This window comes from Homo sapiens, chromosome 5, assembly GCF_000001405.40.
Source record: "Homo sapiens chromosome 5, GRCh38.p14 Primary Assembly".
Taxonomy (NCBI): Eukaryota; Metazoa; Chordata; class Mammalia; order Primates; family Hominidae; genus Homo; species Homo sapiens.
This window is the reverse complement of record NC_000005.10, coordinates 171,293,341-171,319,956: the sequence shown is the minus strand read 5'-3', so window position 1 is coordinate 171,319,956 and position 26,616 is coordinate 171,293,341. Positions and strand designations below refer to the sequence as shown.

The 26,616-nt window shown below is 51.9% G+C and overlaps 2 protein-coding genes across 12 annotated transcripts in view, besides 10 other annotated features; both read right to left on the bottom strand.

Moving 5' to 3' along the window:
- Window positions 992–1,566: an enhancer, noted in NCBI's record as "H3K4me1 hESC enhancer chr5:170745395-170745969 (GRCh37/hg19 assembly coordinates)". NCBI's record gives its function as "activates a minimal SCP1, AML or CMV promoter by ChIP-STARR-seq in naive H9 embryonic stem cells {active_cell/tissue: H9 hESC(naive)}" and the evidence as "EXISTENCE:reporter gene assay evidence [ECO:0000049][PMID:30033119]".
- Window positions 1,567–2,141: an enhancer, noted in NCBI's record as "H3K4me1 hESC enhancer chr5:170744820-170745394 (GRCh37/hg19 assembly coordinates)". NCBI's record gives its function as "activates a minimal SCP1, AML or CMV promoter by ChIP-STARR-seq in naive H9 embryonic stem cells {active_cell/tissue: H9 hESC(naive)}" and the evidence as "EXISTENCE:reporter gene assay evidence [ECO:0000049][PMID:30033119]".
- Window positions 2,142–2,716: an enhancer, noted in NCBI's record as "H3K4me1 hESC enhancer chr5:170744245-170744819 (GRCh37/hg19 assembly coordinates)". NCBI's record gives its function as "activates a minimal SCP1, AML or CMV promoter by ChIP-STARR-seq in naive H9 embryonic stem cells {active_cell/tissue: H9 hESC(naive)}" and the evidence as "EXISTENCE:reporter gene assay evidence [ECO:0000049][PMID:30033119]".
- Window positions 2,717–3,292: an enhancer, noted in NCBI's record as "H3K27ac-H3K4me1 hESC enhancer chr5:170743669-170744244 (GRCh37/hg19 assembly coordinates)". NCBI's record gives its function as "activates a minimal SCP1, AML or CMV promoter by ChIP-STARR-seq in naive H9 embryonic stem cells {active_cell/tissue: H9 hESC(naive)}" and the evidence as "EXISTENCE:reporter gene assay evidence [ECO:0000049][PMID:30033119]".
- Window positions 5,906–6,790: an enhancer, noted in NCBI's record as "H3K4me1 hESC enhancer chr5:170740171-170741055 (GRCh37/hg19 assembly coordinates)". NCBI's record gives its function as "activates a minimal SCP1, AML or CMV promoter by ChIP-STARR-seq in naive H9 embryonic stem cells {active_cell/tissue: H9 hESC(naive)}" and the evidence as "EXISTENCE:reporter gene assay evidence [ECO:0000049][PMID:30033119]".
- On the bottom strand, window positions 7,818–10,709 carry TLX3 (T cell leukemia homeobox 3). Its single transcript, NM_021025.4, has 3 exons — window positions 10,171–10,709; window positions 9,564–9,807; window positions 7,818–8,568 (listed from the first exon to the last, which is right to left on the bottom strand). The coding sequence occupies exons 1-3, from the start codon at window positions 10,589–10,591 to the stop codon at window positions 8,358–8,360; spliced, it is 876 nt and encodes a 291-aa protein (NP_066305.2). The 5' UTR covers window positions 10,592–10,709; the 3' UTR covers window positions 7,818–8,357.
- Window positions 8,561–9,446: an enhancer, noted in NCBI's record as "H3K27ac-H3K4me1 hESC enhancer chr5:170737515-170738400 (GRCh37/hg19 assembly coordinates)". NCBI's record gives its function as "activates a minimal SCP1, AML or CMV promoter by ChIP-STARR-seq in naive H9 embryonic stem cells {active_cell/tissue: H9 hESC(naive)}" and the evidence as "EXISTENCE:reporter gene assay evidence [ECO:0000049][PMID:30033119]".
- Window positions 9,447–10,331: an enhancer, noted in NCBI's record as "H3K27ac-H3K4me1 hESC enhancer chr5:170736630-170737514 (GRCh37/hg19 assembly coordinates)". NCBI's record gives its function as "activates a minimal SCP1, AML or CMV promoter by ChIP-STARR-seq in naive H9 embryonic stem cells {active_cell/tissue: H9 hESC(naive)}" and the evidence as "EXISTENCE:reporter gene assay evidence [ECO:0000049][PMID:30033119]".
- Window positions 10,332–11,217: an enhancer, noted in NCBI's record as "H3K27ac-H3K4me1 hESC enhancer chr5:170735744-170736629 (GRCh37/hg19 assembly coordinates)". NCBI's record gives its function as "activates a minimal SCP1, AML or CMV promoter by ChIP-STARR-seq in naive H9 embryonic stem cells {active_cell/tissue: H9 hESC(naive)}" and the evidence as "EXISTENCE:reporter gene assay evidence [ECO:0000049][PMID:30033119]".
- Window positions 11,218–12,102: an enhancer, noted in NCBI's record as "H3K27ac-H3K4me1 hESC enhancer chr5:170734859-170735743 (GRCh37/hg19 assembly coordinates)". NCBI's record gives its function as "activates a minimal SCP1, AML or CMV promoter by ChIP-STARR-seq in naive H9 embryonic stem cells {active_cell/tissue: H9 hESC(naive)}" and the evidence as "EXISTENCE:reporter gene assay evidence [ECO:0000049][PMID:30033119]".
- RANBP17 (RAN binding protein 17) overlaps window positions 19,942–26,616 on the bottom strand; it is a 437,998-nt gene continuing 431,323 nt past the window's right edge. For 10 of the 11 annotated variants that reach the window (XM_011534627.2, NM_022897.5, XM_017009738.2 and 7 more), the window contains 3 exons: window positions 25,976–26,074; window positions 23,943–24,070; window positions 19,942–21,195 (listed from right to left, as the gene is read on the bottom strand). In XM_011534627.2, the coding sequence (XP_011532929.1) occupies window positions 21,099–21,195; window positions 23,943–24,070; window positions 25,976–26,074 (324 nt within the window). In that variant the 3' untranslated portion in view covers window positions 19,942–21,098. Of the gene's footprint in view, window positions 21,196–23,942; window positions 24,071–25,975; window positions 26,075–26,616 lie in introns of those variants that run through there. The other variant, XR_007058628.1, reaches the window with a different exon arrangement.
- Window positions 25,221–26,420: an enhancer, noted in NCBI's record as "BRD4-independent group 4 enhancer chr5:170720541-170721740 (GRCh37/hg19 assembly coordinates)". NCBI's record gives its function as "activates an origin of replication core promoter dependent on BRD2, P300/CBP, MED14 and CDK7 cofactors, and independent of BRD4, by STARR-seq in HCT116 cells {active_cell/tissue: HCT116}" and the evidence as "EXISTENCE:reporter gene assay evidence [ECO:0000049][PMID:35650434]".

Here is a 26,616-nt window from a genome sequence, read left to right as displayed (position 1 = left end):
GTCAGGGCTATAAACTCAGGCGTAACTAGGTTTGAATTCCAGCTCCGTTACTTAAATGTCTGCCGGTGATCAAGTTACTCACTACTTGAGTTACTAGGTTTGCTTCCTTCTCTCTATGAGGAAAACAAGAACAATATTTACCATGTGGAAATTCACCTACTATTTATAATAACATTGTAGTGTTTACTGTGCACTGGGCTCCAGGTTTAATCTTTCAAACCACCCCATGAGGAAGATCTATTTTTTGCAATATCCAGATGAACACACTGAGGCACAGAGATGCAAACTGACTTGTCTAGGACCACACAGCTTGTGAGTGACAAAGCTGAGATTTTAACCCAGGCCTGTTAAAGCTTCATATAAGTTGTGGGCATTTTGGTGCAGGAGGCAGAATGCATTAATGTGCCTGTCATCTTCCTTCCCTAGGGCTGAAAGTCCTCAGCCCCAGCAGCTGTGGGCTACACCAGGGCGCCTCACCGCCACAGGGGTTCACCAGAGCCTGTTCTTCTGCCTGAGCTGGGAGTCAGAGGTGTGCGGGTGGGCAGTAGAGCCTTCCTGAATCCCTTAGATAAAGCACAAGAGCTATTAGCTTCCAACCATCTTCAGGAGGAACAAAAGAGAAATAACAAGGGATTCTAATGGTAGCAGCAGCAATCACAATGCTAAAAACAAAAACAAAAAACAAGGCTGGGTGCAGTGGCTCATGCCTGTAACCCCAGCATTTTCGGAGGCTGAGACCAGGAGATCATTTGAGGTCTGAGTTTGAGACCAGCCTGGCCAATATGGTGAAACCCCGTTTCTATCACAAATACAAAAATTAGCCAGGCGTGGTAGCAGGTGCCTGTAATCCCAGCTATTTGGGAGGCTGAGGCAGAAGAATTGCTTGAACCTGGGAAGTGGAGGTTGCAGTGAGCCGAGATTGTGCCACTGCGCTCCAGCCTGGGTGAGAGTGAGACTCCATCTCAAAAAACAAAACAAAACAAAACAAACAAAAACCCACCCAGGACTTTCTGGTTTATACGTGGTGTTGTTTGGGGATGGTAATATTCAACCCTTCGGCAGTCACATAAAGACCTTGGCTTTAGTAACAAGAAGGTTTGAGGTGCCTCACTGGAGAAAACCAACGAGCTGGATTCAGGCGGCTTCCCTTAAAGTCCTGGCACCAGAGGAGCCTTGGGAATGTGGTGTCACTCCTCAGAGCCTCAGTTTACTCATCTCTAAAGTGGAGATTACAATAGTATCTATCTCTTGGGGTCCTTTGAGGATTACATGGGGTGGTGCAGATGCCCTCACCAAATGGTAGCTGGGTGCTGGAAGCCTGGGCTCAGGAGGATACAGGTGGCCACAGCTCTGAGGGCCTCGGGGAGCTGGGAACTATTAATAAAGGCATGGCCCCATCCCTGCCCAGAGGAGCCCTGCCCGCCCCCTCCAACAAACGAGCTGGAAACGGCAGGCATTAATAAAGTTCACCCCGGCCCAGCACCCTCTCTTGGCGTCTTCCCCGGGGTTGCGTTCCCTCTCTGCTCTCCCCTCCCCTTCTTCTTAGTCTCACTACGTCCCAGGAACAAAAGTGCCCCAGCTGTAGCACCTGAACAGTGGATGCAAATGCAAGGCAGCTTCGCATGCTGGATAATCACCATCGGCCCCTGAGCTCAACACCAACTTCTCCTGCCTCAGGGCGGACCTCGCCCCCTAGGACCAATGGAGGGCTACCTCCCTGACTGGGGGTGGTGGGGGCGGGGGGAAGGGCAGTTCTCTGTTCTTCTCTGGAGTGCTCTGCATTCCTCTTGTTGGCTGAGTCTCTGCTGGCTGGAGGAAGAAGTGGATTTTTCCTGGATGGGGGACGGAGGCAAAGGGTGCTCTGCCATCGCAGGCTCTCAGCCCTGGAGAGTTTCAGCACAGCTGGGATAAATCCATCGACCAACAGTGCTTGATAGTAAAGCCAGTACATCCCCGGTAGCAGCCAGCGCATGGGCTGTGCGAGGTCTGGAGGCTTTTAAAGACAATCTAGGACTCTCACTCCACTCAAAGATTTGGCTTCTTAAAATCACGGAGCCTGGGTCAGCACAAATCTCTCTAATGAACCTGCGGCCAATGGGGCTTTTCCAGGCTGTGATCCGTGGTCCAGTGGGGACATGGCCTGGCTTGGGCCTCGCAGCCAGCCAGCCAGGCACCCCAGGGCCTTTGAGGCCAGAGGTGGTTAAGGCACCTGGGGGTGAACTTGGGTGGGTCGCCTGCCTTCTCTGCTTCTCAACTTCCTACTTAATGGGAACACAGAACTGTTTTAGGGGATCAATGGGATGGTGGAAGGTGTAGGAGAAAACCTGCTCAAATATTCTGTTCGCACGTTTTTTCTTCTCCCATCCCACCTGTCCTACACAAAGTGAGAGCATAGTAAAGGGGTTGAATAACGAACTCATTAATTGGCAGCGGGTCTGACAGAGCAACGACATTCGTTTCAACTGGTGTGATGGCCACTAACCTCAGGGTAATACCAGGACACTGATAAGTCTAGGCAGATGGAGCCAGGCCAAGTTTCCCAGATGACTGTGCGACTGTCTCTACTACCGGTGACCAGAGGACAATTCATGGCAGTGGAGGACGCTGTTCCATTCCTGTCTTTTCCTCCAAAATAGCAACACCTCTGATTAAACCCCGCACTTAGATTTTGATCCGAAAAATACTTCTAAAATACTTTTGTTTTCATAAAAAACTGATCATCAGCTGTACCATATGCCATGGTTTTTGTTTTTTTGCTTTTTCTAGAAGAGTCTTTAATGACTATTTTTACAGTTTCAGAAACCAAGCTGCAGATAATCGAAACCATTTGCTCAGGGCCACACAGCGAGGGTCCGCACAACTGCGCGGAAGACTCCGTGCCACCGGCGGCTGGGTGGCCCGAGGGAAGGCACCGATCACCAAGGCAATTTCTCGAGGACTTTGCCAGTGTCTGAGCCAAGACAGTGCACAGCCTGGGTCTGGGCGTCGCTGAGAGTAGATGCTATTAACGGAGCAGGCGCTTGGAACTGGGGGGCTGAATTTCGAATTTCACGGAAGGAAAACCGCCTTCCCTGTGGAGGAACCTTCACTACTCCAGAACGCAGGCGCCTGCACCACACCAGCCGCTCTGCGGCCTTGGTGCACTTGTTTACACACGGTTTAGCTGGACCGAGGCAGAGGCTGGGATTTTGGCAAAGGTTCCCAGGAACCTTCGGTGAGGTCGCTGCTTAGGCCCGGAGCTGCCCGATGGTCTCTGCAGAAAGTTGGAGGCCGTGTCCCCCCATCGCTATTCCAGAGCGCCTGGCCCGGCCGCGGCGGAACAGAGCGCGCACCACTGTCGGCAGCCCAGGCCTTGGCGATCGAACTGGCTCAGCCGCCTGCTTCGACCGCAGGTCCGCAAGAGCCTCAGCCCTAGCTGCGCGCCACTCTTCGCAAAGCTGCCGAAGCGGACAGGCTAAGGTTACCCTGCCCAGGGGCCCGGTGGGACCTCTGGGTGTCACCGCTGCGCTCGTGGTGGTCGCGGCTAGGTCTCCCCACTTCGGCACGGATGGCAAAGGCGCCAGCGCGCAAGCCTGGGAGGCTAGAAGTGCCGGGCGCCCTTGGAACTCAGAGCCCAAGTCAGAGCGGCAGACTCTTCTGTCCCACTGCGACCCCGGGCCTAGTGTCAGGGTGGCTGCGCCACCCCGAAGCTGCATCTCCACCCTCACTACTCAAAGCTCCTCCACCCAGTACAAAGAGCGCTTGCTTTAGGGGCGAGAGCGCGGGGCCGCCACCGCTGCACGACCCAGAACTATTATCAGAGCTTCTTTGAAGCTTACTTTCTTTTTCTTTTTTTCCTTTTTTGAGACAAGGTCTCACTCTGTCGCCCAGGCTGGAGTGCAGTGGTGCGATCACGGCTCACTGTAGCCTCGACCTCCCGGACTCAAGCGATCCTCCCACCTCAGCCTCCGGAGTAGCTGGAACCACAGGCGCGTGCCACCACGCCCGGATAATTTATTTTATTTTATTTTGTAGAGACGGGGTCGCTATGTTGCTCAGGCTGGTTTTGAATTCTTGGGCTCAAACAATCCTCCCGGCTTGGCCTCCCAAAGGGCTGAGATGATAGGCTTGAGCCACCACGCCCGGCCTAGGCTTAGTATTTCCATCTGCAAATTGCGGGGGCATTCGAACCTCGCAAGTGCTGTGCATTGCAAATCAGAGCTCCCTACCCGGGGCTGGACTGGGAACGGATGACCGGAAACCATTCCCACTAGCGGGAAGCGAGCGGCCGGCCCCAGAGTTTTCGGCGTTCTCTGCTGAGGGCTCTGATTCGGCCAGGTCCCCGTTGCGTCCCCCAGTCCCATACCCTACCCGCTGCGCGGCCTCCTAGGGAGAACTGACTGTGGCCTCACTCCCTGCCCGGACCGGGCAGACTCGCCCCTCCTTGCAGACGCCTTCGGCCCAGGCCTCCCCGCCTGCATGTAGGGCCCCGGGCGCAGCCTCGAAATCAGGGCGCCGGGAGAACCCGCGCCATCATTCTACTCGGCCCCCGGAGATGCCTCTTGTCTCCCTGCCCTGCATCTGTAAAATGGGCGCGGCTTTAGAGACGCTGGGACCGAGGCTGAGGCGGCGAGGCGGCGAGGCTGCGTCCGCAGCTGTCGCCCAGAGGCAGGCTGCTTCTCGTCCTCCATCCAGTCCTCGGCCGGGCTGGGCGCCAACACTCGGCCGCCTGCCTCCGTAGCCTTGGCCTAAGGCTGGGAGACGATCGCAAAGGAGGCCCCCTCGTGGGGCCCCTCAGGCTACTCCAGATTCCTTTTTTCTTAAGCACAGCCTCAGGGGAGCCTGCCCCATCCAGATATTACCGTTGCCCCGATTCTGCCCATAGCTCGCGTGGCTGGGGGCAGTGGGAGGTGTGTCTCCTACTGAGGACGAGGAGTCGTCGGACTTCAGTCCCGCGCAGCCACGTTGGAAACGGCGACCTAGCGGCTTGGCAACCCAGGAGGAGGGGGTTAGGCGTTAAACGCCCTTGCGCCGCTCGGCAATCGCTCCCACCCGCTGGGGGCGCCCACATTGCTCTGGGTGGAGGTGGCCGAGAGATAGTCGCTACTTGGCACCACATGAGTGGGCTCAGCTCTGTAACAGGAAAAGACCCGTAGCCCGTCTCTGGCTGGGCAAGGCTGGGTGAGGGCAAAGCGCTGGAAGACGCCAAACGCCGCGAAGGCACTAGGTGCGGGAAAGCCAGGCGCCCCCCGAGGGCCGAAGCCAGACCGGCCCCCCACCCCCGGCCTGCCTGGACGCCTACCCCGGACGGGCCTCCGGGCCAGAGGCCTTCTGCGCAAAGCGAGGCGCCCAACAGAAAGAAAAAAAAACAACGTGCGTGTGTCTCCAAAGAGGCCCAAAGAATTGAGTGTCACCCTGGCAAAACAACAGAAGTAATTTTGAAAAACAAAAATACTAGGCCTTATAAGAATGATACGTTGGGCCGGGGGCGGGGGCTCACGCCTGTAATCCCAGCACTTTGGGAGGCCGAGGCGAGCGGATCACGAGGTCAAGAGATGGAGACCATCTTGGCCAACATGGTGAAACCCCGTCTCTACTAAAAATATAAAAAATTAGCCAGGCGTGGTGACTCGCGCCTGTAGTCCCAGGTACTCCGGAGGCTGAGGCAGGAGAATCGCTTGAACCCAGGAGGCGGAGGTTGCAGTGAGCCGAGATCGCGCCACTGCACTCTAGCCTGGCGACAAAGGGAGACTCCGTCTCAGAAAAAAAGAAAGAAAGAATGATACGTTGGATTTTGGGGCCTGTGGGGGAGGGTGGAGGGGCGAGGGATAAAAGACTACACATTGAGTAGAGTGTACACTGCTCGGGTGATGGACGCCCCAAAATCTCAGAAATCACCACTAAAGAACTTATTCATGTAACCAAACGCCACCTGACCATCTGTTCCCCAAAAGCGCGTTGAAATAAAAACAATTAAGAAAAAAAACCCCGCTAGGCCTTATTATGGAGCAACAGAATAAAACGGAACGGAAGGGAGCTGGACCGCGACACCCGTCTCTGAGGAAAGCGCTTCTCCGCCAGCAAAGTCAAGGGTCCCTCTAGTCCTCAGCCGAAGGGCCAACCTTTCCCAACCCGATGACGGCGTTCATCAGGCTTTTTATTGGAGAAAATAAAAGCATTTCAGGAAAACACTCACGGAAGAGACCCGAAGTTCTGAGTCACCCTAGTCCCTCCCTGGGTGTCTTTATGTCCTGAAAGGCGCAGATCCCAGGCTAGCTGGGCTTGGAGGTGGAGGTGACGGCGGGAGCGCTGGGGGTTCAAGGTGTTTCTCAGGCGCCCTCCCCTTCCTCCAGCCCTGCAGGTGAATACAGTCCCGCAGCCCGCATAGAACGAAGGCTCGGAGCACGGGAACCTGCAGGGTGGCGCACGGCTCCGGCTCCGAGGGAGGCAGTGGGATGAGGCGGGTGGGGGTGCTCGTGGAGTGGGAGGGGTGCTCTGGGACGCGGCCCCGAAAGTGTTTTGCCTTAGGAGCTACTGGGAGCTGGGCCTGGAAGAGGGAGAGAGGGAGTCAGGGAGAAAGGAAAGAAGAGAGAGAGAGAGAGAGAGAGAGAGAGAGAGAGAGAGAAAGACAGATACATAAAGGCAAAGAGATTCAAGAAACAAGAAAGGGAAGACAAAAGGACAAGAGGACCGTGGAGAGGAGGGAGACAAAGAAACCCAGAGACACACAGAGGCCAAGAGTCAGAACTGGGGAGAGAAGAAGGAGGAGACGACGGAACAAGAAAAGGCTGAGGGCAATGAAAAGCAATAGAGGACGAACTATACTGGGAAACATCATAAATCTGTAAAGAAAAGGAGAAAGATATAGTAAAACAGAGACCCAGAGTAACATACAGAGGAGAAAACAGGGAACATTGTAGAGAAAGAAACGGAGAGGCCAGAAAGTAAGTTTTCAGAAGACTGAAAGCGAGAATGATAAAAGAGGGGGAAAAATCAAAGAACTAGAGGAAGTGTTCACGGGCTTTGTGTGTTAGATGTGACTGGAAGGGGTCAGCCGCTCCAAACCTCGCAATTCTGAAACTTCCAGCTCTTGAGCCACGGTGGAGCTGGGTGGACCCCGGCCACGACGCTACCACACCAGCGCTTAGAGTTCTGAGTTCCGGGCGCCCCGCCCACTCCAGCCCAGTGACACCGCGGGGGCTGCGGTGACGTCACATGACGTCACGCTCCACCTGGGGTCCCACGCAAACCCGACAAGGAGAGGGCCCCTAGGGTTGTGCGCTGCATTTGCTCCCCAGGCGTTTGGAGACCGAGGATTTGCAGCGGCTCTGCGCGCAAAGCCTGCCCACAGCGCGCGCAGACTGGCCAGAGCCAGGTCCTCTCTGAGGCTCCGCGGGAAAAAGAGGGCGGAAAGCGAGTTGCGGGGTGAAGTGGGGCTCCGAGTTCCGACTTGAGCTCTAAGAAGTTCGAGGCCACCCTGCCTCCCACCCCCCAGGTGGATTTGACCTGGGGACGGCCTAGGCATCTGCCCAGGCCCAGCCTTTCACTCCCCAGCCCGCCCCGGCGCTGGCCCGCGGCCTTCGGGCCTGGAGCACCTTTCCCATGTCCAGTCCCCATCCCGTGCGCACCCAGGCTGCGGGTGGCCGGCACCAACTGACCTGCACCGCGCATCCTCCTCGGGGGCCCGGGCCGGGGTTGCAGCCGAGGCGAATGCAGACGAACGTTGCGGAAGTGGACGCGCCCTGCGCGCCGCCGCTCGGCTTCTACCGCCGCAGGGGTGGGGCGCAGGGCCGGGGGTCGCCGAGCATTATTGGAACGAAAACGAAATAAAAGCGGCGTTAAGTGAAATAGCTAACTTTTTTATTAAATAAAAAGACTTAAATAAAAGGAACGGAAAAGAAGAAGAGTGGACCCAGCCTAAACGCAGGGTGCCCCGGGCCCCTGGCACTTCCCCCAGCGGCCGGGTCGGCTGCCCTTCCTCCAGCGGCCCCCGCGGGGGAAGCAGGTGGCCGGTTTCTAAAGAAAAAAGCCAAAACTTTTTTATTATTTACACGTTTGGGCAAAAGTACAAAGTATAATACAGGCGCCCGGCCCGGGGGGTGCGGGCGGGGGGCGGAGAAACGTAAGGCGCTTTCTTGTCAGGCCCGGGCCTGGGGCGGGACGGGGCGCGGGGCGGGGGCTCGGATTGTGCGGCCGCGCGGAGCTCGGGCCCTACCCCCTTCCGCGGCCCGCCAGTCTGTGGCCGCGCCCTGGGGCCTACTCGGGCTAGGCGGCCCCTTCCCCTCTCGGCGCCGGTTCCCCCGCAGCCCGCCTGGGGGGTCCGGGGCGCCCGGCTGGGTGGGGGCGGCGATCCGTGGCGACGGTGCGCGCTGGTGGGCTCACACCAGGGAGGTGACAGCGGGAACCTTGGAACTATCCTCCTCCCAGGGCTGCAGATTCTGCAGAGCAAAGAGTGACGAGTTGTGCAGACAGAGCGGGTCAGGCTGGATGGAGTCGTTGAGGCTCTTTTGGAAGGCGTCGTGTTGCAGCTGCAGCATGAGCCGGCTCGCCTGCTGCCGCTCCGCCTCCCGCTCCTCCGCCGTCTGCCGCCTGCACCGGGGGAGGGAGAGGGACAGTACCGTCATGCACCCGGCACCGCGGGGCCGCCGGCGGGGCCCCGGCCCTCCCGGGAGCCGAGGCCATCCGGGAGCCTCGAGGCGCAGAACCCGTCTGCCTCCCAGCCCGCGCTTTACGCCCGAGGCTCTTATATCCAGGGAGCCGGTTAGGATCATTTGTTTTTGTTGTGTGCCAGAGGGTCTCCAGGAGGGGACTCTGCCCGCCGCCCACCTGCACGCCCGGGTATTGTGGCTTCACCAACAATAAAGATTGTTCCTTTCGCCAGATAGCAAGGGCAGGGCCTATGTGTAACTGACTTGGCCCTGCGGGAACCGGGGTCGCTGGGGTCCGCGGGTGAGCAGGCTGGCTCTGCACCACCCGCACGACGCCCGGGGGCTGGGTCAGTCTCATCCAGTTCGCCCAGGGCCTGTCTTGAACCCCTTTCCAGACGCGATCGCTTCGCCGTTTACGGGTTGAATCAAAACAGAGATCGGATAAAAACGCGGCTGGAATGGAGACGCGGAGATGGGGGGAGAGGAAACCGGCGTCCACGAGGATTGTTGAAAATCCGAGAGGGCGGGCTGGAAGAAGGAGGAGAAGGAGAGTGCGAGAGGCCCGTGTGTGTGCGCGTGTGTGTGTGTGTGTGTGTGCCTGTGTGTTTGGGGCGGGGGTGGGTGAGAGGAAATCAAGTGAACGCAGGAGACCGTACAAAACACGGGGAGAGAGTTGGAGGGGCTCACGAAAGATGGGGATGGGGATGGAGGAGAAACCAAGGCGTGGGAGACCACGATGGAGAGAGAAGCACAGGCCAGCGAGAAGGGTGAAAGGAAGAGGTACAATCTGCGAAGGCGGGGTGGGGGTGTGTTTGGGGGAGGCAGAGGGGGGCGGGGGTAGTGGATAGCCTTAAAATAGGGCTAGTGCGAGGCTGCGGCTCGGGGCGGGACAGGTGAAGGGCAGGTGTAAGGTGGGCCGGGTCAGGCCTCTCTCACCGCCACTTGGTCCTCCGGTTTTGGAACCAGGTCTTGACCTGCGCGTCCGTCATTTTGAGGGACTTGGCGAGCGCCGCCCTCTCGGCAGAGGCCAGGTACTTCTGGCGATGGAAGCGCTTTTCCAGCTCGCAGATCTGCACCCGGGAAAAGGACGTGCGCGGCTTCTTACGCTTGGGCGGCGTCCGGTTCTGGTAGGGGTGGCCGATGCGCCGGGTCACGGTGAAGGGCGTGAGTGCGGCCGCCGCTGCGGAGACACAGGAGGGCCCCTGAAGCCCAGCCCGGCTCCGCCACCGTTCAGGCCCCATGCGGACCCCGTGGCGCCCCGTGGGACACGGAGAGCTCCGCTATTTCGCTGGTCGCGCGCGTTTCCAGAGACACCAAGCCGGTCGGGAGACCCCCTCGCCCCCTGTCCCTTCCCCCGGGCACGGGCTTATTTTCCTGCAACTCTCCGATTACCCTCCCCACCACGGCTGCCCGGGGCCCTGGGGCCGAGGCCTCCGCCGCGCTTGGGCCTCTGAAATGGTTTCCGGGAGTGGAGCGCACAGGGCGCGGCGCCTCTGGCCCCGAGAGGGCGGAGGCCTGGAGCCTGGTCGCCAGCTCTGCTCACCTGTGAAGCGGTCTTTCACGAAGCGGCGGCTGCTCTCCATCCAGGGGAAATTGAGACCGCCAAGGCTGGAGACCGTGGGCACGGAGGGCATGGCGGGTAGCGCGCTTGGCAGAGGCGGTGGCACGGCCCCGGGCAGCGGCCTGTGCGCCGGCACCCGGATCACGCCTGCGGGCGCTAGGCTCAGGTTCACACTGTAAGATCCCGCGTCCTCGAAGGGCGCGCCGAGGCCCGCAAAGGAGGCGGGCAGAGACGGGTATGTGGCGCCCGGACGGCCCCCGGGGGGCCCTCCCAGGTAGCTGGCGCCGTCGGGGCCCCGCGGGGCGGGTGCGCTGTCCTGGTCCGGGCTGTTAAGGATCTGGTCGATGCCGAAGCTGATGGGCTCGTGCGGGTGCGGGGTCTGCGCGCTGGCGGGCGCCTCCATCCTGGGCGGGCGGAAGGGCTGGGCTGGGCTGGGCGGGGAGGCGGCTGGGTCCCCGTTACGGCGCGGCCATGGAGCGCCCGGCGCCTCTCGTCGCACTGAAACTTTGCCAAGAGTGCGCGGGCCCGACAGGCTCTGTGTCATCTTTCTTGAACCGAACCTGGAGTTTCCGCTGCTAATTCCTCTCCTGCCGCAGCCATTGGCTGCGATCAACAAGCCTCTCTCCTCTCATTGGCTCCCGGCTTTCAATAAAGGCCTAATTCATGGAAATAGGAGCTTAGGGACTGTTCCAAGGTGACATCATTTTAACAAACGAACAATAGGTCAAATTTATTAGCAGGGATAATGGGCGGCGGATATTAGAGCCCGAACCACAGCCTCCCAAACCCGAAATCTAACGAAGCTGCAATTAGCAGACGCTCCCCGCTCCTCCGGGCCGGGCCGCTTCCCAGACACCGCGCTGGGTGGGTAGAGCGCTCCGCTTGTGAAATTGTCTTTTGCTGAGTGGGTTTTCGTTTTCTTCCAATTTTTTTTTTTTTTCATCTGAGCAAAAGCCAAACCAAATGCATCCTTTCAGGTACAATGGAGTTGCAACCCCGGGACGACCCGGCGGAATCCGCAGAAGCCCCTTGGACGCTACCGCCGCCGGAGGAACGAAAGGGGCGCACTACCCGGGGCAGGCTTCGCGCTGCCTGCGCGCGGGGCGAGGGGAGCACCGTAGCGTTCTCCGCGCCCCGGATGACGCCGACCCGCGTGGGGAGAATTCGCCCCCGCCCGGGTTTCGGCCGCGGCCTCGCGGCCACTTTGGAGACACTCCCTGGCTCCGGCCAGGCGGACCGAGGCGTGACTCGCAGGTGCCCACGCGTGCCAGCTGCGGCTGGGCTAGGGACGCGGGGTCGCCCGGTGGGGAGCGGGGACCTGACTCTCGTAATTCGTTGCAGGATGGAAGGGGGCTGTGGTCGCGCGTGGGAACCCGCTCGCGGCTCGGCGGGTCTAGGGACTTCGGGTTCCTGAATGTCAAAGGCGCGGGCAGCTCCTAGAGCAAATTGCGGGATTTCTTTGGGAAACGCGACTGGTGAGCCCTTCCCGGCTCCAGTCCACTTTGGGCGCTGGAACCACTCCCCGTTCTGCTCGCGCCTCAGTGACTGTCTACCCGGCCCAGGGCACCGTGGACAGGACCGCACACGAAGTAGTCACCTTCCGCTGCAGCTTTGGGGAGACAAGCGGAATCATTTTCTTCCAGCGAATTCTAAAATCGTTAGGTGCAAACTCTTTGAGTGTCGCACCCCTGGCCTGGGTTCTTCCTCCCGCTCCTTGTGGTGTGGACAGTGGTGAGAGCTCGGATGTGCTGTTGTTGGCCAGAAGTGTGTTCAAATTTGGACTGGCCATTTCCTCGCTGAGTGACCTTGAGAAATTGACTCTATATATTTAGATTTCGGTTTTCTCGTTTGCAAAAAAGGAAAATAATGCATGCATGCGGGTTGTTCGTGAGCCGCGAGTGAGATATTGAGGGAGCGCAGAGCACTGGGCCTGGCACGTAGTAGGCACTGGGCAGCGTGGCTCACCTCCCACTCTATCCCCCCAGAGTAATGGCTGATGTATTATTGTTGTGACTCTTGTTTATTTTGTTGGCAGTTTAATTTTATTTGCAGGGGCTCAGTACGTTGGAGAGAAAGGTGTATTTGTCTACCAGTAGGGTCAGTTTCAGAGGACGGGGAAAGACAGGAGGTGCAGGTTGGGGATTCTTTCTCTCTTCTCCCAACAATCCAAAGGCGTCAGGATTTGCAGGGCCTCCAGGCCTGGGTCTGGAGTTAGGTCACTTGCCCGCTGTGTGACCTTGGGCAAATTCCTGGCCCTTGCTAAGCCTTCCTGGTGGGTGTGGAGAGGGAGGCCCAACAGTGAGGAGTGAGAGCTGCAGGATGTCTGGGGTCTGGGCAAGTGCTCCCTCACTCCCTTCCAGCGACAACGACCCTCAGATGGGGTAGATGCCATTGCCCTGGCTCCAGGGGGCCTCCTGCTTCTAATTCAGGCTCTGCCACTGGCAGTGTGGGTCCCTAACCGCCCCTCCCAGAACCGCATTTTCCTTATTTGTAAAACAAAAAGGGCACCAGCTACCCCCAGGGTGGCTGTGAGAACAAAATGAGATAACATCTGTGGCAGTGCCTGTGTGAAACTCTGGCGGTTATATCATAATAACTTTAATGACAACTATAAAGCTACTGTAGCTGAGACCCTAGCCTGTGCCAGGCAGGGAGGTGGACACTTATTTATTCTTCACAATGACCCTGTGAGGAAAGGGCTGTTAGTGGCCCCAATTTCTCACTAATGAGGGAATTGAGGCTTTGAGAGTTCAAGGGAAGCACAGCTCCCCACTTGGGGGCTGGAGTTGGCACCTCACCAGCTCCACTTCCCTTCTGGCTTCCAGTGCCCGGGACTCAGGGCTGCCCTTGTCACTTCAGACACTGTTAAATCAGGACAACAAGGCCCACCGCACAGAGGTTTGTGGCACAGAATTAAGGCGTGGGTGGCACAGCGCTGCTCCCAGCTTGTGTGCTTAAGAATGGGATTCCCACCTCAGTTTACCAGCTGTGGACTCAGGGAATTATTCATCCTCTTTATGCCTCAGTTTTCTCATCTGGTAAATAAACCTCATGGGATTAAATAAGCGCCCCAGGTAAAGCCTGGCACGGGTCAGGGCTCTGCTTCACTGCTTGGCTTCCGGCTTCCTGAGATCCACGGTCCCTCATCGTCCAGCCCTGTCATACAGATGAAGGAGCTTTGGGCCACTAATTATAAGCCTCCTTTCACTTCCTATCCAGATAGCTCTTAGGCAGCTCAGGAATGGGGGGAACTTGGTTAGTCCCTAGGACAGTGGTTCTCAGAGTGTGTTTCCAGAGCAGCAGCATCAGCATCACTGGAGAATTTGTTAGAAATGCAAATTATTGGACCCTCGCCAGACCTACGGCATCAGACACTCTGGGGTAGGACTCGGCAGTCTGTGCTTAACAAGCCCTCCAGGTGATTCTGATGCCTGCTCAACTCTGGAAGCCAGTGCCCAGAATATGGTCCATTCCATCTGAGTTTTCAAATGTGTTGTTGTAACATTGTGGGAAGATTCTCTCAGAATTTGCAACTCTCATACGAATCTGTACTAATGCCTTCCACTTCTCATTCCCCGTGTCGCTCATTCATGCCTTCTCCTGATCATACTTGCCAAAGGTTTGTTATTTTGTTGGTTTTTAAAAAAGCCTTTGATGTCATTATCCCCTTTTAAGATGCCACCTCTTTCGTGAATGTTGCGGTTTAAAAAAAGATTTATTCCTTCTTTGCTGAGTTGAAAATTTAATTTGTCAATTTTCTTTCTTTTTAAATAAATGCACTCAAGGGCATACGTTTTCCTCTAAGCACTGTTTTGGCCAGGTATGTTCTGATATGTATTTGGTGTTCCTGAGGTTGTAATTTCTTGCTGCCCTTGTAATTTACCTGCTGTCACTTGATCAGTGAGGCATACACACTGAAAGAGATTAGGAAATGAGAATTGTAAGAACTGGGGATGAGGATTCCCGGGGCTAGAGAGACTTTCAGAATGGAGCACATCCTCTCCTCTTCCCCAAGAAGAAGCTGGAAGAAAGGGGTACAGCTGGTGGAGGCTTTGCCGAGAGTCATCTAGAAGAGGGTGGGGCTTCAGGGATGACAGGCAAGATGCTGGGATTTCCAGCTGGCCCATGAGCCCAGCTGTGGGAGGCCAGGTTCCTCCAGGATCATTCTGCCATTGACTTCCTGAGGGAAATGAGACTCCATTTCCCTGTCTGTGAAATGGGGTAGAGACTGAATCAGGACTTTAAATGTATTTGGGTCAGCTACCCTATTTGAAACACGGATGAAAATATTGTGGTCTGCTTCCATAGAAAAAGACAGAAACACATAATTTGGCACACACACCATGTCACAGGTTGCTGACCTGCCATGCTGTTCTTGGCTTACACACCCTAGTTAGGAGTCCCTAGGGGCCCTTCCAGTTTTCCTGATGGGAGGCTCTAAAGACACTTGCCGAAATTTATTCGCCCATTCATTTATTTATTCAACGAATATTTACTGAGCACCTACTCACATTTCCTGGACCATTCCCCAGTGCAGGGGCTTGCTTTCCCCATCTAACAGTGGGCACAAAGCAGTCTGAGCTCTTCATCACTGCTTCCCCCAGTGGGCAGGACCTAGGGAAGAACCTTCCTGAGGAGGTCTGATCAGTCTCAAGACTCTGCCAGCCAGTGGAAGGAAAAGGCCTTCAGATGTCGGCTGTTGCTTGGGACCCCCCACTGCAGGTCACGAGGCTTCAAGGACAGTTGACTTAGGGAAACAGTCTCTTGTCCAAGGGCATGTAGTAGACAGGGGTGGAGCTGGGATTTGAACCCAGGACTGTTTAGACTACAAAGCCCACATATTCCCCTTTACCTCACACCCCTCTTTGGGGGTAGGTGGTAAAGACTCTTAAGTCACAGGACTGAGTGGGGAGGGGAAGCAGTGCAGGGTCCGGGTGAATGAGCCCAAGAGTGGCGGTGAGGGCTGGCCATAGTGGGGCTCACTTGTCTCCCCTACTGGCTTGGGAGTTCCTTTTGGGCAAAATGCTGTTAGTGGCATTTGATCCCATGTCCCAGGGCTGGGTCCAGGGCGTGGAGGACTGGAGGACATTATCAAGAGTTTGTGGTATTAAACTCAATAGCACAAAGCAAGGTCAGGCAAAGGGATAAGAAAAAGGGGTCAGAATTGGGCGCAGGCATTTGCGTGCACTCAGTTCGTCATTCACCTCCCCCAGCCCTGCTTATGGCTGGTTCCTTGCATCCTTTACAACCCAGGCCAGCCCTCACCTCTCTGCCCATCCTCCAGAGCAGCACCCTCACCCCATCATCCTCTCTACCCATTGATTTTCGTCATTCCCCTCGGAACCGATCTTACTTATCCTGCTCACTAGCTTTATCTGTGGCAGGTGAATGAATGAGGGAAAGAATGATTTCCAAGGCGCTTGGGCTGTGTCAGACCCAGGACCTGGCGGGGAGGCTGGCAGCAGCCTGAGGAAGCTGACCCTAGGGCTGGAGGTTAGAGGAGAGGGAAGCAGGGCGAGATTCCTTTCTCCATGGGGTGGGGGGCTGGTGGAGGTTATAAAGGGCATGTGAACAGGGACTGTGCAGATGGCAGCATGCGCAGGGTGGCAGGAATCGGTCAGTGTGCGCAGACTCGGGGGAGCAAGGGCAGGCAGGGTGGGCAAATACATGGGGTGGCCTTCTCAGGGACCTCCAAACCTGATCTCATGCCCTTGTTTCCTTCCCCTACACCTTAGCCATTTTTCCCATTTGTGCTCCGCAACTTTCCTCCTTTCCTGACAGATTTCTCTACTAAATTTGACTTCGTTTCAACACTTTCGTTGGGCAAATTACATTAAGATGAATGTTGCAGGTACCCTTTATGGTTTATTTATTATGATACTGTTTGTATCTCACGCTTATAAATAACTTATGTTATAGCTTTTGTTTGTGGAAATGTAACTTACATATTTTATTACGCTTTCTGTAAACCTCAAAAAGAATCTTGTCAAGGAAGCACTCTTATCAGCAATCCAAACTATGGGATGTAAAAACCGACACTAACATTATTTTTTAATATGCCAAGGAGGCAGGTTACTCTTGCTGTGGTTTGAAAGGTTTGCTGTCATTGTAAACTTGCACCTCAATAAAACATTTAAAAGTCTCAAGAATGATTTTAGAAAGTTCAGGGAGGAGGATGAATCGGTGGCAGGACCCACAGACACAGCACACAACGGGCCCAGGTCCTGGACTGGCCTTTCTCTGGGAGTGCCTAGTCCCACTGTGGGTGTCAAAGTGGTTCACATCGAGCTTTCCCACCCAACTGTCCCCTAGGCCCAGCTGTGAAGGACCTAGTTCAAGGAATTATAGTGAAAAAGAAACATGAATTTTGAGGTCAGGCAAATCTGACTTTGAATCCTGGCTTGTCCATTTTCTAGCTATGTGGCTTTGGGTCAGTCTTTTAGTCTCAGTTTTCTCATCTCTAACATGGGGAGAATAATTCTTCACATTCTTCCTGGGAAGCATAAAATGAGATAGCAATTTGCAATGCTTAGTGGGTGCTCAGTAAATTATAGCTGTTCTAATTATTTTATGTTCATCTTAAAACTTTTAAGACCAGGAGTGGTGGCTCACATCTGTAATCGCAGCACTTTGGGAGGCTGTGGCAGGTGGATCGCTTGAGCCCAGAAGTTCAAGACCAGCCTGGCCAACATGGCAAAACCGTCTTTACAAAAAATACAAAAATTAGCTGGGTGCAGTGGCATGGGCCTGTAGTCTCAGCTACTCAGGAGGCAGAGGTGGGAGGACTGTTTGAGCCCAGGAGGTTGAGGCGGCAGTGAGCTGTGAGCATGCTACTGCATTCCATCCTAGACAAGAGTGAGATCCTGTCTTAAAACAAAAAAAAAAAAACAAAAAAAACAAACATTTACTTTCTCCCTTTTTACTCTGCCCTGCTTTTCTCTTCAGGCACTCCTTTCCCTCCTCATCATAAGGAGCTGAGTTCTCTCAAATAGGACTTCCCCAAAACTGCTGAACATCTAGATCGGGTTTCCCATATGCCAGATCTTTCAGTTTCTTCAATTTTTCTCACCAAATCCACTCTGTTTTTGGTTCTCATGTGCAGCTGTTGGTAGTCAGCTAATCTGGTCACTAATCTCAGCTAACAGCTACATGGCAAGCCACTTTTGCATTTTGAAAGGGGCCCCCACTACCATAATCCGTAGGTACTTCTAGGTTGTCAGGGCCAATAGAAGGGAGTCCAGAAGGCTAGGAGGGTTTTTCTGCGCAGTTCGGATAATCACACTCAGTGCAGGGACTCTACACTCCTTTGTCCCCCATCCTAAAGAAGCCTGATTGGAAAACAGAATAACAGAAACATCCGGAATACAGGCAGAATACATCTTTCTCAGGGGCCAGGTTCTGAAGTCAGTGTGGAAGGCAAAAATTGAGCAAAGTAAAAATCCCTTCCGACTGTTTCTTGCTTGAGCATCCCTGAAGCAGCTGGCTTGACTTGGCACCCACATTGCATGAACCATCCATCTATCTGTACACTAGAATCCCATCAGAAGGGCGGGTGTGCAAACAGCAGCCCATCTCATCCTCTTGGAGCACATTTGTGAAGTGGTAGGCCCCTTGGAACTGCCAGCACTATTTTTTCCTGCTGTTCACTCTGAGTTAAGTTGGATCCACGTGTGATCTGATTAGACCCAGCAGCCCCATTAGTCGTCTTTCACATGGCCTCCATAGGTTTGTGTGTCTGTGCATGCTTTCTCCTTGAGACAGGATGTCCCTACAGGGTCCACTCCCACGTGGAACTCCAGGTCTGTTCTCAAGAATCCCACTGTCCCTCACCAAGGCAGACTCCGGCAGTCTTGGAGGCAGAGTCCCAAATCTGGTTCTCATCCACTGTGGGATGAGTGTGCAGTATGTGTGATCCTTAAACATCCCAGCTTCCCCACTTCCTCTTCCTCCCTCAGTAAGGGCTCAGAATGGAACCTGACCCTCTAAAGGAAAAGAAGGGTTCCTTTCCAGGTTCTAAGAAAGAAATTTACAGCTAAAACTCAACCTCTCTAGCAATGGCCAGACAAGAGTTGTGGCAGACAGCTTTGAAAATGGCTCCCAGTGGCCGGGCGCAGTGGCTCACGCCGGTAATCCCAGCACTTTGGGAGGCCGAGGCGGGCGGATCACGAGGCCAGGAGATCGAGACCATCCTGGCTAACACGGTGAAACCCCGTCTCTACTAAAAATACAAAAAATTAGCCAGGTGTGGTGGGCGCCTGTAGTCCCAGCTACTTGGGAGGCTGAGGCAGGAGAATGGCTTGAACCCGGGAGGCAGAGCTTGCAGTGAGCGGAGATCGTGCTACTGCACTCCAGCCTGGGCGACAGAGTGAGACTCCGTTTCAAAAAAAAAAAAAAAAAAAAGAAAATGGCTCCCAATGATCCCCGCCTTAGTGATTTACTTCTAATGAACAGAATACAGCAAAAGTGATGGGATGGCTCTTCTGAGATTAGGTTATAAAAGACAGTGACTTCCAGATTGCTGCAATCTCTCTGGCTCTTCTCTGATGAAACAAGGTTCCATGCTGTGGGCTGTCTGTCCTGTGAAGAGGCCCATTTGGGAAGAAACTGAGGTAACAACCAGTGAGAAACTGACTCCTGCTAACCATCACGAGTGAGTCTGGATGCAGAGCCTTACCCAGTCAAGCCTTGAGATGATCACAGCCTGTGAGAGAGAGACAGCCTGAAACCCAGCTGCAAATTCCTGACCTACAGGAATTGTCAGTTAATAAATGTTGCTGTAAGGCACTAAGTTTTGGGGTAATGTGTTATGTAACAATAGAGTTCTGAGAAACAGATGATAATGGACCTAAATATTAACTGGTTTCAACTCACCATTCTGAAATACAGGTCTTCCTTACAAGGGGCCAGGAATTCCTTTGAGGTGAAACAGATCTGGGTTCAAATCTTGCCTGTGTGACCCATGTAAGCTATAGACACCATCTTTGGGCCTCGGTTTCCTTATCTGCAAAGTGGAGCTAATGCTGTCTAAACTTTAGAGGGCTGTTGTGAGGACTGGAAGAGATCATGTATGTAAAGGGCAAGAGAGATGTTCAGTAACCGTCTGCCGAGTCTTCTCCAGCTGACGCATGCTGCCTGCAGTGTGCTCTGCGAGGCCAGCTCTACTAGCAGGTCCTGTAGACGTCAGCAGTGGGGCAGGCCTGACCGGTCCTCTGAGAACAGCTAGCTCTCCAAGGCCAACTCTGATGGAGCCATTCTTGTCTGCTATGAAACCACCAGGTGACCTCTGGCAGTGTGGCAAGCAGAAGCGAGTGCCCATGGTCATTTTCTGGTGAACACTTTAATGCAAACAATATGGTGCTTTTAGATACTAGACATTTGTAAAGAAAACAGTGCCAGAATGGGACAAACTTGCCTTAACACATTTCTGTGAGGTGAGTGTGCAGTTATAAGCCTTCAAGAAACAGAAATTCATGTCAAACTTCTCTGAACAGCTGATGTTTTTACAGAATTCAGAATTTGCCTTCTCAAGGAAAATTATATTTCCCATTTCTAATGAAACACAGTGTAAGGCCCAAGCTTATTTATCCATTAAATACTAGAAGTAACCCCATAGGTAACGTATTTTCCCCTGAGTTCCTTCATACACAGAAGACAAGCATTTTGAGATAAGCTTGATGACTCTGCTCTTATATGACAAGCCTATTGCAAAACTCAACTCTCAAGAAAGGTTTCAAGAAACATGAGTCTGAGAAATGAGATTACAACAGGAGCCTGTGGATTTACTTATTGTTCAACAGTAAGGCCAACCTTTCATGTCTTATCAGAAATAAAGGATACAATATTTGTTATAAGCCTGAATCATAAAAACAGCAGTGAGATAGTAAAACACTTGACAGTGGACGATCTCAAATTAATAGCCTAGTAACAGTAGAGCACAAACTGTAAAGGTCTTCTTCATGTTCTGGGTTTGGGGTGAGTCAGAATCCCAAGTCCCAACAGTAATAAGAGTTTTTGTGGAGAGTTGGAAACCAGCTATTTCTCATCCTCTGAAAATCTGAATTTTAGCACCTAGAACTGTTTTGGGTAGCCCTAAGAAGGCAGAGCTGCTTCAAATATTATATTCTAATAGTTACCTTCACCTTCTCTTAAAAATTAAATGGAGGCAGAGGACTGGGTGCTGGCACCACCCAGAACTTCTGACTGGGGCTACATGACTCCTCCTGAAGAAATATCTCTGCAGGCAGTAATTGCACAGCTTAATTCTTCTAGACTGAACCACTTCAGATTTATGCCAGTGAAAAGCAAACATTGTTTCTAAGTCATTTAATTGTGTTACTGTCTCTCAACTTTATCAGATGCAGCTGAGGCAGGGAGGCCTGCGTGTGGTCCTGTGGGATGCTCTGTAGTGCTTCCAGGCTCGTTCTAAATGCTCACAGCCCAAAGTCCCTAACGCTGCTTCTTCCAGACACATAACAAACTACTCATTTAACAGGTTCCAATGGCATTCGTCTCAATCCAGGATCCATGGTGAAGGCTGCATCTCCAACAAATTGACAACCTTGACTGCAGAACCATAAACTAGTACACACTTAGGTGCAAACCTGGTTTATTACGTTCTTTGGTTAAATATTGTTTCTACATCCTTTCAGAGCATTAGGAGAACAAAGATAATATTTGATAGAAAGACTGAAAACACATCCTTTGCTTTTCAGAGAAAAGACTGAATTTACACTGGTACTGTTAGAAATTCTTATAATTAGGCTAGACGTATAAGAAGTTAGGGCTTTTGCTGTTGCTTGTATGTTTTGAAAAATACATTCCCCTGGGCTAGCCAACATCACTGTCCTGAGACCCAGACCTTCAGGAGTCTCTTGATAAAGGCTGCTCCGCACATGGTCAGAAAAGTCGGGTCAGCTCATCATGTCGAGACTGCATGGTTCAGTGTTGCCATCACTGCGCAACGCCTCTGCCACATCTCTTCTGAATACAGACAGATTTTGGGTGAACCTGCAGAAAGAGGAAGAAAGGGTCAAGGGTAGTAATGAGGCAAAGCCTCCATGAATTTCTGGACGATAAGGCCATTTTGGAGTTCAGGACTTTGGGGAGCCCCCTCCTGGAGGACGGCTCTAGATTTCAGCTGAGCTCCTTTCTCTCCACTTTCACCGCCATTGCTGTTCTGCCACCAGTACTGCCAACCCCTCATCTCTTCCTGGAAAACAGGGTTGCCACTAAATTCACTCTGACCATCTTGAGGTGTACATTTTGTGGTTCTACTTTTAAAAAACAATTTTAGAAAAGTTAAATTACACATAGATAGTAAGGATTATAAAAAAAAGAACAAAAGTTTATATGCCAGGCATTGGATTGAGTTTACTGATCAACTCATTTAGTCATCACAAGTCTTCCCTGAGGTAGGTATGAGTATCCTCATTTTACAGAGAGAAAACTGAATTTAGTAGCTGAAAAAGAGGGGGCACTGGGTTAGACTACCTGGGTTCAAATCCTAGCTCTACCACTTATGAGTCCGGTGATATTGGATGAATACTTAACCTCTTGTCTTGGTACCTAATATGAGTAGTTACCTCAAGGGATTGCAGAAAGTGAGAATTTAGGCTGGGTGCGGTGGCTCATGCCTGTAATTCCAGCACGTTGTGAGGCCAAGGCGGGTGGATCACCTGACGTCAGGAGTTTGACACCAGCCTGGCCAACATTGTGAAACCCCGTCTCTACTAAAAATATAAAAAATTAGCCAGGTGTGGTGGTGGGCACCTGTAATCCCAGCCACTCAGGAGGCTGAGGTGGGAAGAATCACTTGAATCTGGGAGGTGGAGGTTGCAGTGAGCTGAGATCACGCCACTGCACTCCAGCCTGGGAAACAGAGCGAGACTCTGTCTCAAAAAAAAAAAAAAAAAAAAAAAAAAAGAATTTATTGGGTCAGTTTGAGGCAATGCCTGTATGCCTGTAAGTACTCAACACAGTGCCTGGTACACGGAAAAAAGTCAGTCTTCACTGCCTATTACTCTCATTAAACTACGAGGGCCACCTGCCATCATTTCACAGAGCAGCTCAGGACGCAGTACACAAATTTCCAAGCCTTAGGTGAAGTAATTTCCACCGAGACACCTAGGGCTTCCCCATTCAACTCTCATCTGCTGGCTTCTGAGGTTGTCCCTTTCTGCGTGATAGAGGATCTTGAAGTGAGCAGTCAAGGGAATATGTCTGCATACCCCAACTGACTTGGTCATGTATTACCAAAGCCCAGGCTGGTAACTCCAGAATACACTGTGGCTACTGGGATGACTGATGATTTGCATTTCAAATGGAGCAGCATTTGAATGCTACCACATTTATAAAAGGATGGTGCAGGCCTTTTTTTTCGCCCCCTGAACACATGCTTTTTCTCCATCATTCATTACTGTCTGTCTTTTCTACTAGAATGTAAGATCCATGAGGGGGAGGAACCTTAAATAATTGGTTTACCACTGGTAACCCCAATGCCTACACAGTAGATTCTGAATAAAGTTTTGTGAACTAAATGAATGAATGAATGAAGTCAGACCTAGCTGATAAGCCTGAACCTATCTCCTTTCATTTAGATCTCATTGGCAACTGAGATACCAGCCATTCTTAAAGAACAGGCAGAGGGAGAAACTAATACTGTAGGTCATAGGTCCCAGGTGCCATGTTTCACTGCGTTCTGTCATTTAAACATCACAACTGATTATCATCATCTCCATTTTACTGGTAAAGAACCTGAGGAGTAGAGAAGTTAACTGCCTACTGCCACACAACCTAAAAAGGCCAGATATAAAATATCTTTAAAAACTTTTAATTTTAATTTAATTTTATTATTTTTGAGACAGAGTCTCACTCTGTTGCCCAGGCTGGAGTGCAGTGGTGTGATCTCAGCTCACTGCAATTTCTGCCTCCCAGGTTCAAGTGATTCTCCTAGCTCAGCCTCCTGAGTAGCTGGGACTACAGGCACGTGCCACCATGCCCAGCTAATTTTTGTGTTTTTAGTAGAGACAGGGTTTCACCCTGTTGGCCAGGCTGGTCTCAAACTCCTGACCTCAGGTGATCCACCCACCTCGGCTTCCCAAAGTGCTGAGATTACAGGCGTGAGCCACTGTGCCCAGCCAATTTGTTTTTTAATTGATACATAATATTTTTACATCATTATGGGGTACATGCAATATTTTGTTATATGCACAGAATGTGTAATGATCAAGTCAGAGGATTTAGGGTATCCATCACCTGGAGTATTTATCATTTCTATATGCTGGGGACATTTCAAATCCTCTCTTTTAGCTATTTTGAAATATACAATACATTATTGTTAGCTATAGTCAGGATCCTAACTCAGCTGTATCTCGGGTCTGTCTGACCTCAAGGCCTATGTTTGTTCAAATGCCAAGAAGTCTTTCTTCATTTTCCATAGTGGATTTGCACTTTCCTTCTTTTGATCTTTCAATTACAGTTATTTTTTCATATCTCTCCTGTTGAATTGTAAACTGCTTAAGGGCAGAGACTACATTTTATTAATCTCTGCATCCCTGTATAATGCCTAGTATGACGCCTGGAGGAAAGCAAATAACCAACAATATTTACTGAATGGAATGGAACTGAGTCTAGGATCACAAGGTGTAACAGAAAAGGGACATCCATGTGTGAGCTGTGTCAAGCACGAGAGAGTTATTTTCAACAAACCTGGAATGTCTACTTCCCCCAGTGACACACTACTGGGCAATGCTCACCTGTCTCTGTTCTTGACGGACAGGTTCTGCTCCACTCCTTCCATTAGGTTTCTGAAGCACTGGGCAAGGACCTCCTGCTTGGGGAGGGGCTGGCTGTTTATCAAACTTGCTCTCAGTTCACTGAAATACTGATGGGAGACAGAATAGTGTCAGAGCTCCGACTCCAAGTCCCGCCTGAAGACAGCTGGCAGGGGATGGATAGAGCAGCTCTCATCTACTCAGGGCTCACTAATGCTCAGAGGAGTTTTTGTCTAGGTCCACTTTGAACTTTAAGCCCTTAGAGAAAATCCATGCCATAGAGACACTCCTAGTTATCAATTCTATGATGCCTTCCATAAAATGTCTTGCTGTAATTGTTCTAGTGTCACTGCTTAGGCTGATGAAGTCCTTGCCTCCTCTGTGGGGGACTGAATGCATGCTTTTCCTGACTCTCATCTCTACTAACCACAGAAAGACTGAAATGGGAGGGGCCCCCAGACTGAAGAAAATAACTAAAAATGCCCAGGGAGCATTTTAAGTGACTGAAGGCAAGGCCAAGGGTCTTTCCTCAGGCCTTATCATCTTTCCTGGCTTCAGTGAGTCACTCCTTAAATGACTTTGGGCTTTTTTCCAAGTCTCTGTCCTTGGGGGTTAGAATGGGTTTACTCCTCTGAGGTGGGGTACTAGAGGGGCGTGCTTTAGTTTGGGGAGAGCTTTGTGGCACTAAGGAAAATGTCTGTCAGGCCTGCTCACAAACACCTGCACAGCCTTTTCTTCTCTGCTGAGGACTGTGGGCTTTTATACACACACAAGTTCTGATACTAAACACAGCTCCTAATCATTGGAAACAGCCTAATTTCAGCACAAAGACAACATTTTGCCAGTCATGCATTTATTCTTCCCAGCCCCAAAAGCATGATATTTAATTTCCATCATACATTAAAACAGCTTACATCAAAAAACACACATAATTAATATGTAGTCAGACTAATACTTAAATACTATATATCAGAGGCATTATACTTAAACCACAATGTCTTACTGAACAAGATTGGGAATGCACAAAACTACTTATTTTTCCCTTTTATAATGATGCAGTGACTCACACCAAATAGAAAATTATTAGTTTTTCATCCTAAACTGTGAAATATTGCCTCCATCAGTAAAGTATAATATTGTGATGTCATAAGCTTTTTCTAAACACTGAATTTGCCCTTATTCCCTCTCAATCATTTTAAAAGAACTGCTCTCTTTTATAGAGCTTGGATTTAAATCACAATAACACCGAGGGAAGATGAATGACAGTGCTACTGAATGTGGCTAAAATTGGATACTTCAGCACAGGTGAATGATGAGACAGCTCTTCTCTTTTTGATATATTTTCTTCTTCTATTAGTTTCCTTCCAAGGCTGGGATTTTAGTTTGAATTTTAATGCATGCACCTGCCTCTAATCTCACTGTCTTTTTCCCCAGTACTATCTTATTGTATAGACAATTCATTCTCCCAAGCTGTAATGCACTGTTCCTACTACTAGGGAGATGTGTGGGTTCAAGAGGAAGCTGGAGAGGCTTGGGAGGTAGCCCAGGTGGTGAGTCCTCCAAAGAAGCTGGAGATGTGTGCTCCCCAGATGAAGGGTGCTGGTTCTGTGAGGAATGCCTGATGGGCTGCTGCTGTCACCACCTAGGGCAGTGGGGATCTCAGATATAAAGGGTGGCCAAGGAAGGCAAAAAGGGTTGTTGCTCAGAATTCTCCTGGAATCAGGGGAGTGGAGTGAGGGCAAGCTGGAAATACTACTGAGCAAACCACCCACCTGGTGAGTGGGGGCTCTGGGCTCCAGAAGCACTCGTTTTGAGGCCTCTGCTTACCTGAAGAAGATCTGAGGCCTTTGGGGAAGGGCCTTGTAGGGGAATACAGCCTCACAGAGTTCGCAAGGTCCCAGTTCAAATTCAATTGGCTCTGCTCCTCTGTCCTTCGTCATCACAGCTCACCCTAGCTTATAGCTGCTCTCTTCTCCCAGGGACCACCTCCCGTGACTTCCTGCAATCACACTCACCTTCTCATTGAGCAGGATGAGCCCCAGGAGAGGCCTGGATACTGACCACTGGTTCCGACAGTCTTCAAAGACAATGGTGTTCATGAGGACAGACATCATCTAGAAGATAGAATCACATAAAGATTGAGATGCCTTGTCTCAGAGTTCCCCCTAATCCCAGGCCTTTCATGTGCTCAGATTCCACCCCTCCATCTTGCTAACAGCTATGAAAGCTCTTTCTGGACAAACGGACTAGACTCTGGAAGCTTATAAGGCTGCCTGTAGAAACTGTTGGCAAAGACCCCCAGCTAGCTCCCTGTGGAAGAGCTTCTACCTCTGAAAGCCTTGGTGAGAACATTCCAGATGGGCATAAGTCAAGAGGTCACTGGGCCAAGATGATCAGTCCCTGCCTCTCAACCCTGATATGCTTTCCTCTATGCTAGGGCACCAGGCAAAAGCTCAGCTCACCTTCCTGTCTGCCTCCTATTTCACCTAAGAGGTTATGTTATAGAGAGATGAAATCTCTCCATGGCCCCTCTTGGAGAGAGGGAGGGGAATGGGACACATTCCATGTGATCCTGGAACATCATGTTTCCTGCTGGCTTAGGCTGTTCGAGGTTTCTCTTCACTCTTCGTTCACTAATTCCCTCACTCACTCATTC